Source organism: Homo sapiens, chromosome 16 (genome assembly GCF_000001405.40).
Source record: "Homo sapiens chromosome 16, GRCh38.p14 Primary Assembly".
NCBI classification, from domain to species: domain Eukaryota; kingdom Metazoa; phylum Chordata; class Mammalia; order Primates; family Hominidae; genus Homo; species Homo sapiens.
In genome coordinates, this window is record NC_000016.10 from 88,936,605 (window position 1) to 88,955,225 (window position 18,621).

General features: G+C 58.5%; 1 protein-coding gene and 2 long non-coding RNA genes across 8 annotated transcripts in view, besides 6 other annotated features; 1 reads left to right on the plus strand and 2 right to left on the minus strand.

Annotated features, from left to right (window-relative positions):
• Window positions 1-18,621, minus strand: part of CBFA2T3 (CBFA2/RUNX1 partner transcriptional co-repressor 3) — a 102,350-nt gene that overhangs the window by 61,747 nt on the left and 21,982 nt on the right. Inside the window, exon 1 of one of the 6 annotated variants that reach the window (NM_175931.3) lies at window positions 4,416-4,746. The exons of the other annotated variants lie outside the window; for them this stretch is intronic. The gene's annotated coding sequence lies outside the window, so the exon portion shown is untranslated. Of the gene's footprint in view, window positions 1-4,415; window positions 4,747-18,621 lie in introns of those variants that run through there. 6 annotated transcript variants of the gene reach the window in all.
• LOC107984871 (uncharacterized) lies at window positions 174-3,499 on the minus strand. Its single transcript, XR_001752305.3, has 2 exons — window positions 982-3,499; window positions 174-534 (listed from the first exon to the last, which is right to left on the minus strand). It is a non-coding gene; the product is annotated as an uncharacterized LOC107984871 (long non-coding RNA).
• LOC100129697 (uncharacterized) lies at window positions 2,667-17,178 on the plus strand. Its single transcript, NR_168285.1, has 2 exons — window positions 2,667-3,728; window positions 13,653-17,178. It is a non-coding gene; the product is annotated as an uncharacterized LOC100129697 (long non-coding RNA).
• Window positions 2,884-3,073: an enhancer, noted in NCBI's record as "active region_11377". NCBI's record gives its function as "activates an Ori minimal core promoter by ATAC-STARR-seq in GM12878 lymphoblastoid cells {active_cell/tissue: GM12878}" and the evidence as "EXISTENCE:reporter gene assay evidence [ECO:0000049][PMID:35858748]".
• Window positions 3,554-3,713: a silencer, noted in NCBI's record as "silent region_7885". NCBI's record gives its function as "represses an Ori minimal core promoter by ATAC-STARR-seq in GM12878 lymphoblastoid cells {active_cell/tissue: GM12878}" and the evidence as "EXISTENCE:reporter gene assay evidence [ECO:0000049][PMID:35858748]".
• Window positions 4,284-4,463: a silencer, noted in NCBI's record as "silent region_7886". NCBI's record gives its function as "represses an Ori minimal core promoter by ATAC-STARR-seq in GM12878 lymphoblastoid cells {active_cell/tissue: GM12878}" and the evidence as "EXISTENCE:reporter gene assay evidence [ECO:0000049][PMID:35858748]".
• Window positions 4,574-4,643: a silencer, noted in NCBI's record as "silent region_7887". NCBI's record gives its function as "represses an Ori minimal core promoter by ATAC-STARR-seq in GM12878 lymphoblastoid cells {active_cell/tissue: GM12878}" and the evidence as "EXISTENCE:reporter gene assay evidence [ECO:0000049][PMID:35858748]".
• Window positions 4,674-5,023: a silencer, noted in NCBI's record as "silent region_7888". NCBI's record gives its function as "represses an Ori minimal core promoter by ATAC-STARR-seq in GM12878 lymphoblastoid cells {active_cell/tissue: GM12878}" and the evidence as "EXISTENCE:reporter gene assay evidence [ECO:0000049][PMID:35858748]".
• Window positions 5,284-5,623: a silencer, noted in NCBI's record as "silent region_7889". NCBI's record gives its function as "represses an Ori minimal core promoter by ATAC-STARR-seq in GM12878 lymphoblastoid cells {active_cell/tissue: GM12878}" and the evidence as "EXISTENCE:reporter gene assay evidence [ECO:0000049][PMID:35858748]".

Below are 18,621 nucleotides of genomic sequence, written 5' to 3' on the forward strand. Positions count from 1 at the left end.
GCGGGAAACGCAGAGGCAGGCGGCCGACAGCAGTGCGGGGTGAGCTGCCGGCTGGGCTGCTGGTGCCTTGGCTCCGGGAGACATCTTCCTTATTACGGCCAAATTCATCTTTGTTTTCCTTCCCAGTGACATCTGGCTCTCAGTGAGGTCCCACGAATTACAAAAAGCAGAAGTCTGAACTTCTGTTTTATTGCCACAGGAAACTCATTGCCACAGCACAGGCGGAAAGCCGGATCCCGGCGGGTCCTGAGTCCCCAGCTCCCACCCTCGGGGCAAGCTGCGAGCTCAGAAGTGGGGACTGGGGAGCAGTTATCTCTCACTCTCCTCATCGTCAGTTTCCAGCCCAACTGCCAGGTCTCCGCCTGAGTCTTTTCCACTGATGCTACAAGGGCGGTTTCCACTCCAGGAATTTTTTTTCCAGACAAGCAAAGCCCTTGCCTGCATTTGCTCTCGGCTAAGGCGGCCCTCCCAGGCCTGCCCGGTGGGCTGTTTCCCGCAGCACGGCCTGGGCTCCGCTGAAAGGAAGGTCCCGGCCTACGGAAGCGCAGAAGCAGAACCAGGCCTTCTCACTCTGCCCAGGAAAGTCAGGAGGTGGAGAATAAAACCCCCAGGAAAGGATCTGGGGTGTCGTTCACTGACGCAGGCTTTCCCAGAGAGACTGAGCCACGAGGTGGACGAACAGCGTGGTGTCCACCCAACCTGGCCCTGACACCAGGGATGGTGACGCTGTCGTGAGCCTCCCTCTGAGCTGCCCTCAAGCGGCCTGCACCTCCCTAGCCAGTACCCCAGCAGTTGTGTTTCCACCCCTCTCCTGCCCCTGCGAGGCAGCGGGTCCCAGCCCACAGTGTGCACTGGACTCTGCACACTCCCGGCCCACTCCCTGCCGTCCCCACGCTGGCCCTCCCGTGTCAGAACTCAGTGGGAAGTTCCAGGGGCCTGACCACCCTGGATGTGTCACAGACAGAGCCCCGTGGTACCCACCCGCGTCGGGCTCCTGCGCTGTGAGCTAGGAACTTCTGTGGGCCTCGGCTTCCCGGTCTGGAAAGTGGGGCAGCAGCGGTGCCCTCAGGGCTGGCTGCCGTGAGGATCCAATGCAGGGCCTGGGTGCCTCTCACTGCATGTGACTCTGCCCCCGCCTGGTATGGAGTAGGTGTTCGATCAATACTTGCCCAGGGAATGAGCACTGGAGGACAGGCACTTTTTGTCCTGTAAGTGAAGTGGTGGCAAAGCCACCCTCCGGCATTGACAAATTGTAGAGTTTAGGTCCTTTCCGTCCCCAGGGGCCTGGGGCCAGCCTGGGAGGTGACATCGGTTGCCTGGACGTGGATTTCTATGAACACTGGATGCCATGTCTGTGATAATAGCCGGGCAATGTTCCAGTGGCTTCTGGAGGGTCTTTAGCAACAACGACCTCCCTCCCCTGCACAGCAGGGCAGGAAGCAGAGGTGGGGCTGGCCAGAGGTGCAGACCTAGAGCAGCCGGGATGAGGCTGGCCTTGGGGCTCCATGACCCAGGCAGGGCAGAGGTCAAGTTCTCCCACCCGTGCCCTGACCCCAGATGGGCCCCAGGGCCTGTATCCAGGTGAGGGCTTTTGCACCTACAGTGCTAACCCCGAGTCATGACCGAGCCCTCAGCCACCAGATCCCCCAGTCCCTTGGGGGTGCTCAGGTGCTCTAAGAATGTGGCCCGGCAGGCTGGGGATGGGGACCGACAGCACAGGCAAAGGAACGCCCGGGCAGGGCTGGACAGGGACTGGGCGGGGCTGGACAGGGGCCTGGAGACACTCGCTGCGGCCCGCCGTCAGACTGGCTCCCTGCATGACCTGTGGAGTGACTGTACCTCTCCCGGCGTCGGAGACGGGGAACGCTCCACGGCCCTCGTGGGTGTTACAGGGACGCGACAGTGCGTGTAAGCCCCAGCGCTGTTGTAGGCTCTAAGACCCACCCAGGAAGGCTCCACGACCCTGTGAGCAGGAGACACAGGCCACAGGCAGGCAGTGCAGCAAGTGCGGGCCGGGAGAGCAGCCCCATGGAGACGCCAGCGCCTTCACCTGTGGCACCAATAACAAGGCCCTGCTAGTCCCTCCATGCTGGGTCTGAACACCCGCGTGGCACACACGGCACTGGGGCACGCTGAAGTTGCTTCTGGTTCCTCCCTGCCAGGGAAGGAAATTCAGAGCCACTTAATTCAAGCACCATCCTTCCACCCTGGCACTGTGGGAGGCTGAGGATGAATCAGAAAACCCCAAAGTCAACCTGCTAACGGTGCAGCAGGGAAGGGGGGAGGCCAGCGGAGAGCCCCAAGATGGTTCCAGAAGCTGGCAGGGAAATGCCTCACCCACCTCACACCCTCCCTGCCACCCCAGAGGCGGCAGCGGCGAGGCCCGGCCCTCCCCACTGCAGCCCTGAGGGCTGGGATCTTGGGGATTAGTGACCCAGCCTGCTGGCAGCATCTCCAGATCCTCGCGTAGGGAGAAAAATTAATTTCTTCCAGTCATGCAGAAATGAAAATACGTGGAGCCAAACCAGAGAGATTTCCTGGAGGTGGTAACTGAATTACGCAGATAGCGGGCGGCAGGGGAAGAGCTCAGGGGGGCTCGGGCGGCTGGTGTGTGGCTTCGTAGCCCCAGAGGGTTCTGGAAGGCGATGTCTGGGGAAAGCCCTCCCACTCACCAGCCCTGGCTTCACAGGTGGTGACAGCACGGCCCCAGCACCACGAACCACTCATGTGAACTTCCCTTCTCCCCTGTCACTAGAGGATCCCAGCACATCCCAGGAGAGATGGAGCCTGCCGGAAGACTGATCCTGATGCGACACTCTCTTCCCTCCCTGAGCCCCAATCTCGGGTGGAGGCCACATCTGTTCCTCCTGCTCTGGGCGCTTCTTCCTTTCTGTTTCCCTTTCAGTGTGGAAGAGTGGCCGCTTGCCCAGCAGGACGGTCCCAAATAGCATGGCTTTTCCAGGCACGGTGCTGTCGGCCGCACAGAACAGGACCCTCCCGGCAGCTCCGGCTTGCACAGCATCCGCCTGTCTGGCCCCTGTGGAAGTATCTGACTCCCAACGCCCAGACTGGAGCGGGGGCAAAGGACACAGCCCGACCCCAGAGGCACACAGAGCCAGCCCTCCACGGAAGAACGTGCCCAGGAACTGTGGGCTGGGCCTTCCTGCCTCCTCCCCTGCCGCGAAAGCGATGCCAGGGGCAGGTGAGGGTCGGACGCGCTCAGGCCCAGCCCTCGCCCCTTCAGGTCTGGGGGACACAGTGGAGTCCCAGCCTCAAGAAGTTTCCCCAACCTCTCAGAAACTTGAAGGGCAATGCCAGGTACCGAAAAACCGGCCCCCGCCCCTTATCCCCGGCCGACCCGTCCGCCGAGGTGGCTGCCCTGGGAACCTCCTGTTCCTCGTCCAGGAGAGGAAACGCACACCCGGGCCGGACGCACAGAAGCCGCACCCTGGCTGGGGCCACAAGCCTGACAGCTACCGACAAGCCCCCACCCACAGGAGCACGCGACGTGCTCTCTTTTCAAGGGAAAGGTTTTTCTTCCTGGGCCCTGGAATGGGCCTGAAGTCAGCCGGCCTCAGCCCACAGGGTGAATGAGGGGTGGGCACAGCCCGGCCGCGGCCCCAGCACACACGGGCGGACGCAGGGGCGGGGGAGCGCCAGCCCCGCAGTGTGTTCGGAGCCCAGCGGCTCTGAGTCGCCGCCACCAGCCTGGCCGCCTTCTGCTCCACGTAAGTGAAGTCAGCCGTCTAGGGCTGCGTTTCCAGCCATCTGTCCCTCCACAGAGGCTCACACCTCCCTCCCCGCTGTTCCCACAGCCTGGCTCGGGGCCTGCCCAACACAGATGGACGCTTCCCAAAGGCTGTGCGCGCCATCGCTGCCACCCGGCTGTGCCGAGGCCCGCGGCCGTCAGGACCCCAGGGACCGCATGCCAGGCAGGGTCCAGGACCCCCAGCGCGGACCACCTTTAGCCTGCGGGGCAGCGCCGGGGACCCGGGCAGGAGGGAGAGGAGCAGGAGGGAGCTCTGGACCCCCCTCCCCAGACCGGCCGCCGCCACCTCTGCCTCTCCCAGGGCCGCCCTCGGCCTCCCCACTCCCGGGTCTCCGTCACGCGGGCCGCGGGGCCTTTGTTAGGAAAACCGGGCGGCCCCAGGGGAGCCCGCGAGACTCCCAGCGCCCGGGCGCGTCGTTCCCCTCGAAGTTTCGCCGCAGCCCCCGCAGGTCAGGCTCTGCTCACGGGGGGCTGCGCTCAGCCCGGATGGGTGGGCGCTGGGCGGGTTGGCTCCACCCTGCCGTGGGCACCAACTTTGAAAACGGCCCGTGCGCTCGGCGCGGCTGCGGCGCAGATCCGGGAACGGCAGCCGCGGGCGGAGTCGGGGTAGAGCGGCGGCGGCGCGCGGGGCGGACACGGCACTTACGGTCGGGGGGTCCGGGGGATCCGGCGGGCGGCGGACGGCGCACACTCGCGACTCGGTCCGGGAGTCGCTGCTCCTTCCAGCTTGGTCCCCGCCTCCACGACTCAGGGGCGGCTGCGCGCTGTCTTCTGGCGCCGCACCGGGCTCAGGCGCGCGGCGGGGCTGGGGCGCGCGGGGCGGCCGCCTGGGCCATGCCGGGGACTCGGCTCCGGCCACCCCGCGCGGGAACAAAGCGCGCACCCCGCCCGGGGCGGTCTCCGGCCTCCGCGGCCCGCGCCGGGTCCAGCCGCCGCGCCTGTGGCTCCAACGCCGCGCGCTCGCCCGAGAGTCTCACGGGGCCCCGCGGCCCCCGCCCCGCGCGCTCCGCCTCCGCCTCCTGCCCCCCGCCGCCGCCGCTGCGCCACCTGCCTCCCGCCCGGCGCCCATGGCGCTCAGCTCCGCCCCGGGGCGCCGGCCTGGAGAGGGGCTCCCCGCCGCCGAGAGCCGCCCCCAACGCCTCCGCCACCGGGGCGGCGCCCTAAGAACTGGCCGTGGGGGCCGGGGCTGTGCGGAGCGCCGGGAGCAGGGAGAGGGGAGAGGGGCGCGGGGAGGGGGCGACGGGCGCGCCGCCTCCTGCGGGGGGCGGCGCGGGGAGGCGCAGGCGGGGGCGAGCGAAGAGGTTGAGGGGTGCGGGCGCCGTGGAGGGGGCGCGGCTCTGGGGGGCGGCCCCCGCCTGCGCCCACCCTCTCCCCCTCCGCAGGCCGCGCACACCCACCTCGCAGCAGTCGGCGGCCGCGGGCCTCGCAGCTTTAGAACCGCGGCTTCTGGCGGCCGCGCGGGAGGCTGAACGGGAGTTGGGGGGTGTGGGGGGGGTGGGGAGGTGGGGAGTTGGGGGGGAGGTCGCTCCTTCGGCCGCCGCCCCCGCCCCCTGCCCCGCGCTCGCCCCCAGCGCGGCGCCTGGCCCGGCCCGGGGCCACCTCCGTGCGTGGCCGGCAGGGGTCGCGCTCCCCCCGCTCAGCCTCCCGGGCGGGTCCGATGCGAAGCCCTCGCTTCCCGCGGGTCCCGGGGCCAGGTCATTTGCATACACTTTGCATTCATTTGCATATCGTGCGTTTCATGTCCACCTGCAGAAACGCCCCGAGCCGCTGCTCTGCCCTCTCCGCACTTTCTCTGCCGGCAGGCCCCCTCCCCCGCCCGCTTTGCCTTTCCCTAAAGTACTTTGTGGCGTGTCTGGCGCATTTGCCTGCTTAGTACATTTTAGTAAAATTGGCGCCTTTTCCCTGTTTCCTGCCCCAACGCACACGTGCTCTTACTTTAGACACAAGCGGCTGGGGGGCCCAGGGGTCACCATTAGGAGACACAAGAGGCCAGACCTTCAGAGCAGCAGGGCCTTGGTTTGCCTCTCATTTCGCATAAATTTTGCATGTGAAGGTCCGAGGTCCCCAATCCCCAATATAAAAATATGGCAACGTGCGAAACATGGCCCATTCCAGCTTTGTGCCGCGGGCCTTTTCCCCCCACCCCTCGTCCCTCTCATGGACTTGGCTCTACCCACCTGAGCTGGCAGAGGAAGGGGACGGAAACCCAGAACGGGGGCTCCGTGAGGGGGAGGACAGCACCATGTCCTCCTGCAGCCCCTGGGCAGCGGTCTGGTCAGCTGGGTCACTAACCGCAGTGTGGCCCAGCCAGTTCCTCCAGCTCCTGGCTGTGGGAAGTGCTGTCTGAAGCCAGCCAGACTCCGTGAAAATTGTGACACAAACGCCAAGCACCTTCATTCTCCTGGTTTTCAGACTGTGCGTAACATGGTGCTTGCCCATGTGGCTCAGCCCAGTCCTTGTGGAATGGAGGTTTTCAGACTGTGCGTAACATGGTGCTTGCCCATGTGGCTCAGCCCAGTCCTTGTGGAATGGAGGGGGAGTTCTGAGCCCACCCCACAGTACAGTGCGAGTCCCCATGCGGTGGGTGTGTTGCCTAAGGTTACCGATTTTATGCTCGAAATTTATCCATCCTGGCTCCCTGGCTTCATGGACTCTGAGGCACAGTGGATTTTAAGATGCACCATTATTTTGTGTGCCACTAAGAAAGGAAAACATTCTGCCGGTGATAATCCTAAAACGCCCCCAGGTTTCAGAGATTTTACAAAGCAACATAAACGTGGGAGTGGGGGCAGGTGGGAGAATTCAGCAGCGAACCACCCTGAAGTCAGTCGGGTTGTGAGCTAAACAATGCCTGCGGCAGCTGTGGCTGCCCACAGGGCCTGGGAGCAGAAGCTGGCCTGGACCTGGGCCGGAAGCCCTCACCCAGCACCAGCGGCACGTCCGTGGTCTCGGTTCTCTGGACCGCAGGCTTCGGGTGTTAAGTGACCAGTTGCAACATCTCTGACTTACACAGGGTGCTCACAACCATTTGAGGAGTGACAGACCTGAAGGCACTGAAGATACCACTGCAGCCATCAGACACCACAACCCAGGCGCTGCACCTGCCCCACCGCAGCCCCTCCTCCCTACTCAGGAGAGCTGTGGTGGCGTGGTAGAGAAGAAAGGGATATCGCAGGCAGGAGGGCTTCCTTTAGTGCTGTGAGTGGGTCAGCCTGACGCCTAGCCCAGCGGTCACAGGGTGGTCAGATGGTCCTGGCAGTAGCTGGCACAGAGCTGGGCACCGTCTCTGCATTTCCCCCCGTGCTGTGCGGATGCTCCCGGAACGCCCATTTTACAGGTGGAGAGGCTGAGCCTCTCAGCCACACCGACTTCCTGCTGCCTTATCCAAGAACTGGTTTCTTGCCCTGGATGCGGCCAAGTCACAGCTCCTGGGCATTTCGAGGGGACATTTAAGGAGGAGACTACCAGCCCTATGTGAAAGATGTCTGCAGTCTGTCCGACAAGGCCAGCGTCACCTGTGCGGGAGACAGACCACGGGCGAGCAGGACCTCGGAGGGCCACACTCAGGGCTCGGGAGGGGGCAGAGCCGTGGAGGAGGGAGCTCGAGGGTGTGCCCATGGAGCTCCCAGTGTGTCGCTGTCTGTAGAGGCAGGAGCTCAATTCACTTAAAAGAAACCACCACGGCCGGGTGCGGTGGGTCACGCCTGTAGTCCCAGCACTTTGGGAGGCCGAGGCCGGCGGATCATGAGGTCAGGAGATCAAGACCGTCCTGGCTAACACAGTGAAACCCTGTCTCTACTAAAAATACAAAAAATTAGCCGGGCGTGGTTGCAGGTGCCTGTAGTCCCAGCTACTCGGGAGGCTGAGGCAGGAGAATGGCCTGAACCCGGGAGGCAGAGCTTGCAGTGAGCCGAGATCACGCCACTGCACTCCAGCCTGGGTGACAGAGCGAGACTCCATCTCAAAAAAAAAAAAAAAAAAAAAAAGGAAACCACCTCCCCTCCTCATGGCATGGCAGCGTTTCCAAGTAAAGTTGACTCCCCATCAGCATCTGGTGCCCCGATCACACACCCATGGAAGCCCTGGGAGACCGTGCCTGGCTCTAGGGCCCGCGGCGCACAGCGGGGCAGCCCCAGCTTTGCTGACCTGTGCTGGGTGTGCCTCTGAGGCCCCACCCTGCTGCCCTCAGGAAAACAACTGCAGCCTTCTGTCCTGCCAACTGCACTTCTGGCCATCCTGATCCCCCTCCCCAAAGGGCAGCACCCACATCTGATTTCCCTCTCAACCACCCAACAGTGCCCAGCTCAAGGTTTGGATAAAGACGCAGTTTATAAACACTTGCCACAGGCGTCCCTGCACTGTCACCTCCCCGCAGTCATGGCCCCTTCTTCTGATACCAGGTAAGACTCGCTGTCTGTGGGGCCCTGGCCAAAGGGCAGGCGCTAGGCCCTCTCATGTGCCCTCCGTGACCCTAGGAGGTAGGTCTTGCCACCAGCCTTGTTTGCCAGAGGAGAACACCGGGACCCAGAAAGCTTGAGTAATCTCAGAACACAGGCTGGTCTTTGGCAGAGCTGGAGTCCTGCCAGGCCAGCGTGGTCCAGCGGGAGGCCAGGCCATCACTGTTGCTGACCTTCAGAAAATAGTTCTGAGCACTATAGACTCTCAAACATTTTCTGTTATAACTAAAACTCTGCAACAAAAGTTTAGATAGCTGCCAAGAATAGAAAGTCTGATACACTATAGGTATAGATATTTAAAAATAAGCGGGTGGCTAATGGATTCTAGATACCATAGCAATTTGATAGCCACTGTCGTTCATTAAAAATATCTGAATAAACTCGTCTTAAACACCTGCATTTTCACTCAGCTCCCTACCTAGAACAGTGAGTTTTTAAATATAACACCAAAAGCATGATGCATACAATAAAAATTTGGCAGGTTGGATTTCATTAAAATTTCATACTTCGGCTCTGCAAAAGACACTATGAAGAGAATGAAAAGACAGGCCATAGACTGGGAGAAAATATTTGGGAAACACATATCTGATGAACAACTGTTATCTAAAATATACAAAGAACTCTTAAAACCAAACCATAAGAAAACAAACAGCCCCATTAAAAATGAGCAAAAGATCTGAATAGACACCTCATCAGAGAAGAGATCTAGAAGATGATCTGGCAAATAAGCACAGGAAACGATGCCCAGCAGCCTTGCCACTAGAGAGTGGGTCAGCACAGCCACGAGAGGCCACGACACGCCTGTTAGAATAACTAAAACTCAACACACGGACAACCCCAGATGCCGGTGAGGATGTGAGGCAACAGGAGCTGTCATTCATTGCCGACGGGAATGCAAAATGGTACAGCCCTTTGGAAGACAGTTTGACTGTTTCTTATGAAACTACACACTTTTACCACGCCACCCAGCATTCACGTTTCTTGGTATTTACCCAAATGAGTTAAAAACTAATGTCCACACAAAACCCTGCACATTAATGTTGATAGAAGTTTCATTCGTTTTTACCAAAACTTAGAAGCGACTGAGACCGCCTTCAACAGGTGAATACATAAAATACTGTGGCATATGTAGACGATAGAGTGTTATCCATGACAAAAGTAGTGAGCTATCAAGCCATGGAAAGTGAACATTGATGGCCGGGCGTGGTGGCTCACACCTGTAATCCCAGGACTTTGGGAGGCCGAAGGGGGCGGATCACCTGAGGTCAGGAGTTCGAGACCAGCCTGGCCAACATGGCAAAACCTCGTCTCTACTAAAAATACAAAAATTAGCTGGGCGTGGTGGCGGTGCCTGTAATCCCAGCTACTTGGGAGGCTGAGACAGGAGAATTGCTTGAACCCAGGAGGCAGAGGTTGTAGTGGCAGTGAGCCAAGATCATGCCACTGCACTCCACCCTGGGCAACAGAGCAACACTCCATCTCAAAAAGAAAAAAAAAAGTGAATATTGCTAAGAAGTCAATCTGAAAAGGCTATATACTGTCTGATTCCAACTCAATAGCATTCAGGAAAATGTAAAATGATGGAAGTAGTAAAAAGGTCAGTGGTTTTCAGGGGGTTATAGAATAGGGAAGGTTGAGTAGGGAGAGCAGAGAGGTTTGTTTGTTTTTGGAGGCAGAGTCTTGCTCTTGTCTCCCAGACTGGAGTGCAGTGGCATGATCTTGGCTCACTGCAACCTCTGCCTCCCGGGTTCAAGCAATTCTCCTGCCTCAGCCTCCCGAGTAGCTGGGATTACAGGCGCCCACCATCACGCCCAGCTAATTTTTGTATTTTTAGTAGAGACAGGGTTTCACCATGTTGGCCAGGCTGGTCTCGAACTCCTGACCTCATGATCTGCCCACCTCGGCCTCCCACAGTGCTGGGATTACAGACACGAGCCACTGCTTCTGGCTGAGTTTTTTTGTTTGTTTATTTTTAGACAGGGTCTCACTCTGTCTCCCAGGCTGGAGTGCAGTAGCGTGATCACAGCTCACTGCATCCTTTGACCTCCCAGGCTCAAGCGATCCTCCCATCTCAGCCCCAGCTAATTGTATTTATTTTTTGTAGAGACAGGGTTTTGCTGTGTTGCCCAGACTGCACAGAGGATTTTTAGGGCAGTGACACTATTCTGTATGACAGTCTAATGGTAGACGCAAGTCATATGCTTGTCTAGACACATAGAATGTAACACCAAGAGAGAAGCCCAATGTAAACTATGGATTTCAGTTAATGAAAAGGTGTCAGTATTGGTTCATCGGTTGTAACGAATGTATCACACCAGTGCCAGGTGCAATGTAGGGACCCCCCACTAGGGAACAAGTCGGAAAGAGTAATGAGAACTCGGCGCTTTCCGCCCAGTTGTCCTGTAAACCCAGAACCACGCTAAAGAATAAAATCTATTAACTTAAAAAATTCAGCAGACAAAAATGAGGATATCAATGACATTTTATTTGCCGTTTAAAAGACAGATACAAACAGACTCTTCTGCAGCGCCTGAATCTCTACATGGCCCTTCTCTCCCTTAATGCCTCCTTCCATTCTACCCAGCCGATTTTTATCCTAATATGTTTTCATGTTTGAAAGTCTTTTGATTCCCCTATCGTACAAAACTAGGTACATAGTTGGAATGTCAAGATTTAAACATTTTCCTATGTTAAAATTTATTTCCTGGGCTGGATTATCGTTATAATTATTGGTAGTATACAACCGATACAAACAATGTGAATGTATTACACATTTTGAGAACTAATAAGGATACAAAGTAGGCTGGGCTTGGTGGCTCACACCTGTAATCCCAATGCTTTGGGAGGCCAAGGAAGTAGTATCGCTTGAGCCCAGGAGTTCAAGACCAGCCTGGGCAACATAGCAAGACCTCATCTCTACAAATAATAAAAAAGTTAGCCGGGTGTGGTGGTGCGTGCCTGTAGTCCCAGCTACTCAGGGGGCTGAGGCAGTGGGATTGCTTGAGCCCAAGAGGTTAAGGCTGCAGGGAGCTATGATCACGCTACTGCACTCTAGCCTGGGTGATGGAACGAGACCCTGTCTCAAAAATAAAAATAAAGATACAAAGTAAATTTTTGTTGGAAGACATCTCGTAAAAGGAGGGAGGGGCACTTTTTGGTAGTAGTTTGTGTATTCATGCATGAATAATACTGCCAGAAAAAGACAGGATTTGACATTAATTCCATTCCCGTGGTGGGTGTTTAATGTGAAAGCCAGAGAATCTTCAGTCCCATAAATAACTCGATCAGAACGGGAGCTGTGTCCTAACCATCTCACTGTGACCTCCTTCTGAGAGTCAGATGCCGCAAGCCACGTGGTGATTGGTCATCAAAGTCATTTTTAATAACTATCAGCTGACAAATCGGTTCTGTCCCCCCTCAATTCTGTTTCATGCAAAGACAAGAAATCAGCAGGTTGCAGCAGAGACACATTCGTGGCGAGTGGGGAGCTGGGGGCAAGGCACCAGGCTGGCCCCAGGCAGAGAGACGTTGGTCTTTCTTGGGGAACTGGGAGAGGGTGACTGTGCAGGGGTAGCTGGGAAAAGGACCCACACTGGCCCAAGCAGGTTCTGCCTTGGCCGTCAGCCTGGGCCGTCTGGTGTGGGCACCAGATGACGCGGCTTCAAGTTGCCCACAAGGTCAAGGAGACCCTCCCGGAGGCAGGGAGGAACCCTAAAGCAGAGGGAGTCCGGGCTCCGGACAGGAGGCTTCCCTGCCTCAGGAGTGTCTCTTGGCTTTCTCCCCTGACTCACATCGGCATCGCTGCTTTTGCAGAATGAGGTTCCTAATTGTGAAGTGGCTTCATTCACGTATTCATTTCTTTCTTCCTTCACTCTCCATATCCAATAGAAAGCAAGTTACTGAAGCTTGCCAAACCTCAGTTTTTCCTGTAAAACGGGGCTAAGAGCTGGCTGGCCTACACATTTGCAATGTGGCTCAAAGACAAGTTCAGAGTTCTCTCTTGTCTTTGTTGAAGTTCACACGAGAACCAGGCCAAGCACAAACAGTTGGAAATCGGAAGTGTCCCGTAGGAAAAGCAGCCGGTGCTCGTGTGTAAAAGGGAATGTGGATGGGATTGAGGTGGCATTTAAAATCCCTGGAGAAGCACAAACTCCCCAGTAGATGGTGTCAGGACAACTGCCCCATGTGGGGAAAATGAATTATATACTCCTTACTTCACTTGGAAAAATAAACTCCACTTGGGTTAAAGAATAAAATGTGAAAAACTGGAACAGTGAAAGGATTAGGAGAAAAAAGCAGAGCAATTTATATAATACCAGTTTAAAATTAAGGCAGCCGAGAAACTCTGAAAAAATTTTAAGAAGCTGGAGGGGTTTGGCCGTGTAGGCATGAGCAACTTCCATGTCCTGAAAGAGACAGGGGACCCCGATAAGAGATGGGTTGGGAGGCCGGGCGCGGCGCCTCACACCTGTAATCCCAGCACTTCGGGAGGCCGAGGAGGGCAGATCACTTGAGGTCAGCAGTTCAAAACCAGCCTGGCCAACATGGCGAAACCCTATCTCCACCAAAAATACAAAAATTAGCCAGGTGTGATGGTGTGTGCCTGTAGTCCCAGCTATTCGGGAGGCTGAAGCAGGAGAATCACTTGAACCCGGGAGGCGGAGGTTGCAGTGAGCTGAAATCGAGTCACCTGCACTCCAGCCCGGGTGACAGAGCGAGACTCTGTCTCAAAAAAAAAAAAAAGAAAAAGAAAGAAGATGGGCTGGGAGTGGGTGTGGGGACAAACGACAGTGGCCCCAGCACACAAACATTGCTACAGAGAAGAACAATACAAGCACTCAAAATAACGCTCAACAAACTTCATGAGTAGGCAAATCCCACAAGAAGAAAACAAAAGGGACCAGACACAGTAGCTCACGCCTGTAATCCCAGCACTTTGGGAGGCCGAGGCAGGCAGACCACTTAGGGTCAGGAGTTCAAGACCAGCCTGGCCGACATGGCGAAACCCCGTCTCTACTAAAACACAAAAATTAGCTGGGCGTGGTGGTGGGTGCCTGTAATCCCAGCTATTGGGGAGGCTGAGGCAGGAGAATCACTTGAACCCGGGAGGCAGAGTTGCAATGAGCCAAAATGGTGCCACTGCACTCCAGCGTGGGTGACAGAGATTCTGTCTGAAAAAAAAGAAAAGAAAACGAAGGAACGAAAACCCCCGCCACTCTCGAAGTCACACGGCTTCCCTGCTTCTCTTCCTCATGACTGGCCCCCTCTCCTCCTCTCCCGTCTCTCTTCACCTCTCTTTATCTGGATCTGTCTCTGCTTGTTCTGCGTTTCCCTGTTCTCCAGGGCAGGAACCACATCGGTCTGTTCACCCCTCCCCTGGACCGGCACCGCCACAGAGGGTCAGAGTGTTGGCACCTGTCTTCCAGGTCTGTTCACCCGTCCCCTGGACCGGCACCGCCACAGAGGGTCAGAGTGTTGGCACCTGTCTTCCGGGTCAGTTCACCCGTCCCCTGGACCGGCACCGCCACAGAGGGTCAGAGTGTTGGCACCTGTCTTCCGGGTCAGTTCACCCGTCCCCTGGACCGGCACCGGCACAGAGGGTCAGAGTGTTGGCACCTGTCTTCCGGATCTGTTCACCCCTCCCCCGGACCGGCACCGCCACAGAGGGTCAGGAGTGTTGGCACCTGTCTTCCGGGTCAGTTCACCCGTCCCCTGGACCGGCACCGCCACAGAGGGTCAGGAGTGTTGGCACCTGTCTTCCGGATCTGTTCACCCGTCCCCTGGACCGGCACCGCCACAGAGGGTCAGAGTGTTGGCACCTGTCTTCCGGATCTGTTCACCCGTCCCCTGGACCGGCACCGCCACAGAGGGTCAGAGTGTTGGCACCTGTCTTCCGGATCTGTTCACCCGTCCCCTGGACCGGCACCGCCACAGAGGGTCAGAGTGTTGGCACCTGTCTTCCGGATCTGTTCACCCGTCCCCTGGACCGGCACCGCCACAGAGGGTCAGAGTGTTGGCACCTGTCTTCCGGATCTGTTCACCCCTCCCCTGGATCGGCACCGGCACAGAGGGTCAGAGTGTTGGCACCTGTCTTCCGGATCTGTTCACCCGTCCCCTGGACCGGCACCGCCACAGAGGGTCAGAGTGTTGGCACCTGTCTTCCGGATCTGTTCACCCCTCGCCTGGACCGGCACCGGCACAGAGGGTCAGAGTGTTGGCACCTGTCTTCCGGATCTGTTCACCCCTCCCCTGGACCGGCACCGCCACAGAGGGTCAGAGTGTTGGCACCTGTCTTCCGGATCTGTTCACCCCTCCCCTGGATCGGCACCGGCACAGAGGGTCAGAGTGTTGGCACCTGTCTTCCGGATCTGTTCACCCGTCCCCTGGACCGGCACCGGCACAGAGGGTCAGAGTGTTGGCACCTGTCTTCCGGGTCTGTTCACCCGTCCCCTGGACTGGCACCAGCACAGAGGGTCGAGTGTTGGCACCTGTCTTCTGGGTCTCCATCCCTCCCTTTGTTTGTTGAGTGACTGCATGTTCTCATTTCCTTATCATACAATTCTTTGAGAGGTATCATTAGCTGCGTCTTATTTTATTTTCACCTTCTTTTCTGTTACCTGTATGTTTGAATTTTCCTATAAGTATTTTTGTTTCATCTTTGCTTTTTTAAATTAAAAAATCAGTTTTAAAATTGCACCTGCAGTACAAAATCAGGGTGGCGACCGGGTTGCTGCCATTCCCTCCCCTCGGGTCTGTGGCTTCTCAGCTCCAGCTCGGGTCACAGACCTGCTGCCACGGCCCCAGGGTGGGCACAGGGCTAGCAGGACAGTCATGCAGGCAGCCGCGGCCCCAGCGATTGGTCCAGGAGGAGGGCAGGTGACCACACGCGGCCAATCACAATCCTTCCCTGGGAGTTTTTGAACTGGAACAAGAGAGGAAGGACCTCTTCTTTGATCTGCGTGGGAGGCAAGCCCAGAGTGGCCTGGACAGCCGCTGGGAAGAGAAGGTGGGCAGAGCGGCGGAGGGTGTGCTAATGGTTGGGTCTGTGGGGCCTGAAACCGGTGCCCCTGCCCATCCTATAGTTTGGTGCTTGAGCCAGCACAGTCCCAGGTGTCCCTGACGCCTCCGAGCTGGGTTTCTGTCACTCGCAGCTGCAGCATTCTGGCACAGACCCTTGGCCCAGGACCCCTGTGCAGAGGTGGGTTTGGGTCTCCCCGGCCCCAGCAGCCCCAGGAGCCTGTGAGATCTAAGCCGGAAGCTGCTCTGGGCACCTGAGTGCTGACAGCCCGAGTGATGGGAACAGGCTCGCTACTATGCAGAGACAGAGAGACTAATTTTTATCAGCCAGATACCTGGCCAGGCCCCAGGGTGGACAATCTCCAAACCGCATGCATCCCGGCACTGACAAAGCCGTCTATCATTGCTGGAGCCAGGACACCCGGGGAGGCTGTGCCAGGCCACGGGGTGAGGGAGCTGCCTCCCTCCAGTCCTTCTCCCGTGGGGCACTGAGACGGCTTTCAGCAAGACAAATGCCCAGGCCACAGGGTGAGGGAGCTGCCGCCCTCCAATCCTTCTCCCGCGGGGCACCAAAATGGCTTTCAGCAGGACAAATGCCCAGGCCATGGGGTGAGGGAGTTGCCGCCCTCCAGTCCTTCTCCCACGGGGCACCGAGACGGCTTTCAGCAAGACAAATGCGGCCCTGCCACTCCCTGACCGAGATAAAGTCTCAGCTCCTGAGCCTGGGGTGCCTGCTGCTCGCCCCCATCGCCTCTCTGAGCTCCAGCCTCACAGGCACACACCGCTCCCCTGCCCAGAACATTCTGCCCACAAACTCCTCTTAGCCTCAGGTCCCTGCTGAGTGGCCATTCCTGCTGGGAGGCAGGAATTCCCTGATCTACCCTTCCTGAGTCTGGGAGAGACGCCTCCCATACCCCCATGACAGCCCATCACAATTGTTCACGGATCTCTGTGTTCTCCCTCAACAAATACTTGGCGGACCCCCTGGAGCCACAGCTCAAGGCTTCCTTCCCCCCCACCCCCACACCCTGGGGACAGCATGTCCAGGACCCCCACGCAGGGCCTGTGTCGAGACGGCATGTCCAGGACCCCCACGCAGGGCCTGTGTCGAGACGGCATGTCCAGGACCCCCACGCAGGGCCTGTGTCGAGACGGCATGTCCCGCCATCGGGTTTGCTGCTGAATGAGCAGATGATCTAATGAGTGACCGTCCTCACCCACGAGAAAAAACACAACCTGGTCTCCGTCTGCCGGTTAGATCGGCCCCCAGTCCTGCTGGCCCCAGCGATGACAGAGGAGGAGGAATGAGGAGTGCCGTGCCTGGGCTGGGCCATCGCCTCTCTCCCTCGGCTGGGTTTGTCATGCTCAGCCAGACCCGCTCCCGGTGGAGAGGCCGAGGGACCCTCATTTCTACGTTTGCATCCCTTTCTTCCAGGGCCTGCGGGGCTGACAGGCACACAGCCAGTGGTGAAGGTTCACGGAAGAACGAAGGAAGGAGTGAGCGTGGGGAGAGCCAGCCAGGCTCCCCATGTCCACCCAGATGGTGAGCTGGCCCTGCCCTGGAGACACTGTGTCCAGAGGCCAGCATAGCCCTCAAAACGGTTCCCACAGCTCCCAGCGGAGCCCTCAAAATGGTCCCCACAGCTGCCGCCCACTCTTGGGACCCTGAGTGTGGGGAGGCTGGGGTTGAGCAGTGGGGATCAGGATCTGGCAGGATCGGAATGTAGAGGCCTGGGGGCTCCCGGCTGGGGACAGTGCCAGCAGGAGTGGCCGGGACGATGACGAGGTGAGGTGTCTGCTCCCAGGCTGTGTGTGGCTTGGATGCCAAAGCGCCTTTTGCTGTATTCGGCACCCTGAGACCCTTATGTCTGCCTATTGAAGGCACAGTTTACTCCCGGGAAAATAAACATTTGGGTTTATTTCGCTGTGACTGCACCCCCTGAATCTTAATCATATGTGTCTCTGGGTTTCCCTTAAGGGGGATGGCTCCCCTTAAGATGACTTTGGGGCTGCCATGGGCCTTGTCACCTGCATTGGGCTGGTGAGGACAGGGACAGAGATGCCCACAGAGCAGGTGGGCTGTGCTCCTGCCCTGGGCAAATGAGGGCAGGCGGCCTCTAACAGCTGACACCATGTCAGGACAGTGGCTACCTAGCAGGAAGCTCTTTCATCTAGAGTCCTGGTCCTTCATGCCTGGGTGTGGTCATGGCCCCTCTACAGCTGCCAGTCAGAGAACTGCCCAGGAGCTCCCACTCCTCCTCTGAAGACCCCAAATCTCACCACTGACCAAGATAGCCCTCTGACCACAGTGGGCTCCCCCAGCCACCACGATGGTACCCCAACTGCTATGAAAGGTCCCCTGACCACAACAGGCACCCTGACCACCATGATAGGCCGGCCACCCATCTACTCTGACAGCCCCCTTCCCCTACAGCCCTGCCCAAGTCTCCTGACCCACCCAAGGGTCCTGACCCCACCCAAGGCTCCTGACCCCAGCCAAGGCTCCTGACCTCACCCAAGGCTCCTGACCCCACCCAAGACTCCTGACCCTACCCAAGACTCCTGACCCCACCCAAGGCTCCTGACCCCATCCAAGGCTCCTGACCCCAGCCAAGTGTCCTGACCCCAGCCAAGGCTCCTGACCCCGCCCAAGGCTCCTGACCTCAGCCAAGGCTCCTGACTCCACCCAAGGCTCCTGACCTCAGCCAAGGCTCCTGACCCTACCCAAGGCTCCTGACCCCGCCCAAGGCTCCTGACCTCAGCCAAGGCTCCTGACTCCACCCAAGGCTCCTGACCTCAGCCAAGGCTCCTGACCCTACCCAAGGCTCCTGACCCCGCCCAAGGCTCCTGACCTCAGCCAAGGCTCCTGACCCTACCCAAGGCTCCTGACCCCACCCAAGGCTCCTGACCTCAGCCAAGACTCCTGACCCCACCCAAGGCTCCTGACCCCACCCAAGGCTCCTGACCCCAGCCAAGGCTCCTGACCTCAGCCAAGGCTCCTGACCCCACCCAAGGCTCCTGACCTCAGCCAAGGCTCCTGACCCTACCCAAGGCTCCTGACCCCACCCAAGGCTCCTGACCCCATCCAAGGCTCCTGACCCCAGCCAAGGCTCCTGACCCCAGCCAAGGCTCCTGACCCCGCCCAAGGCTCCTGACCTCAGCCAAGGCTCCTGACTCCACCCAAGGCTCCTGACCTCAGCCAAGGCTCCTGACCCTACCCAAGGCTCCTGACCCCACCCAAGGCTCCTGACCTCAGCCAAGACTCCTGACCCCACCCAAGGCTCCTGACCCCACCCAAGGCTCCTGACCCCAGCCAAGGCTCCTGACCTCAGCCAAGGCTCCTGACCCCACCCAAGGCTCCTGACCTCAGCCAAGGCT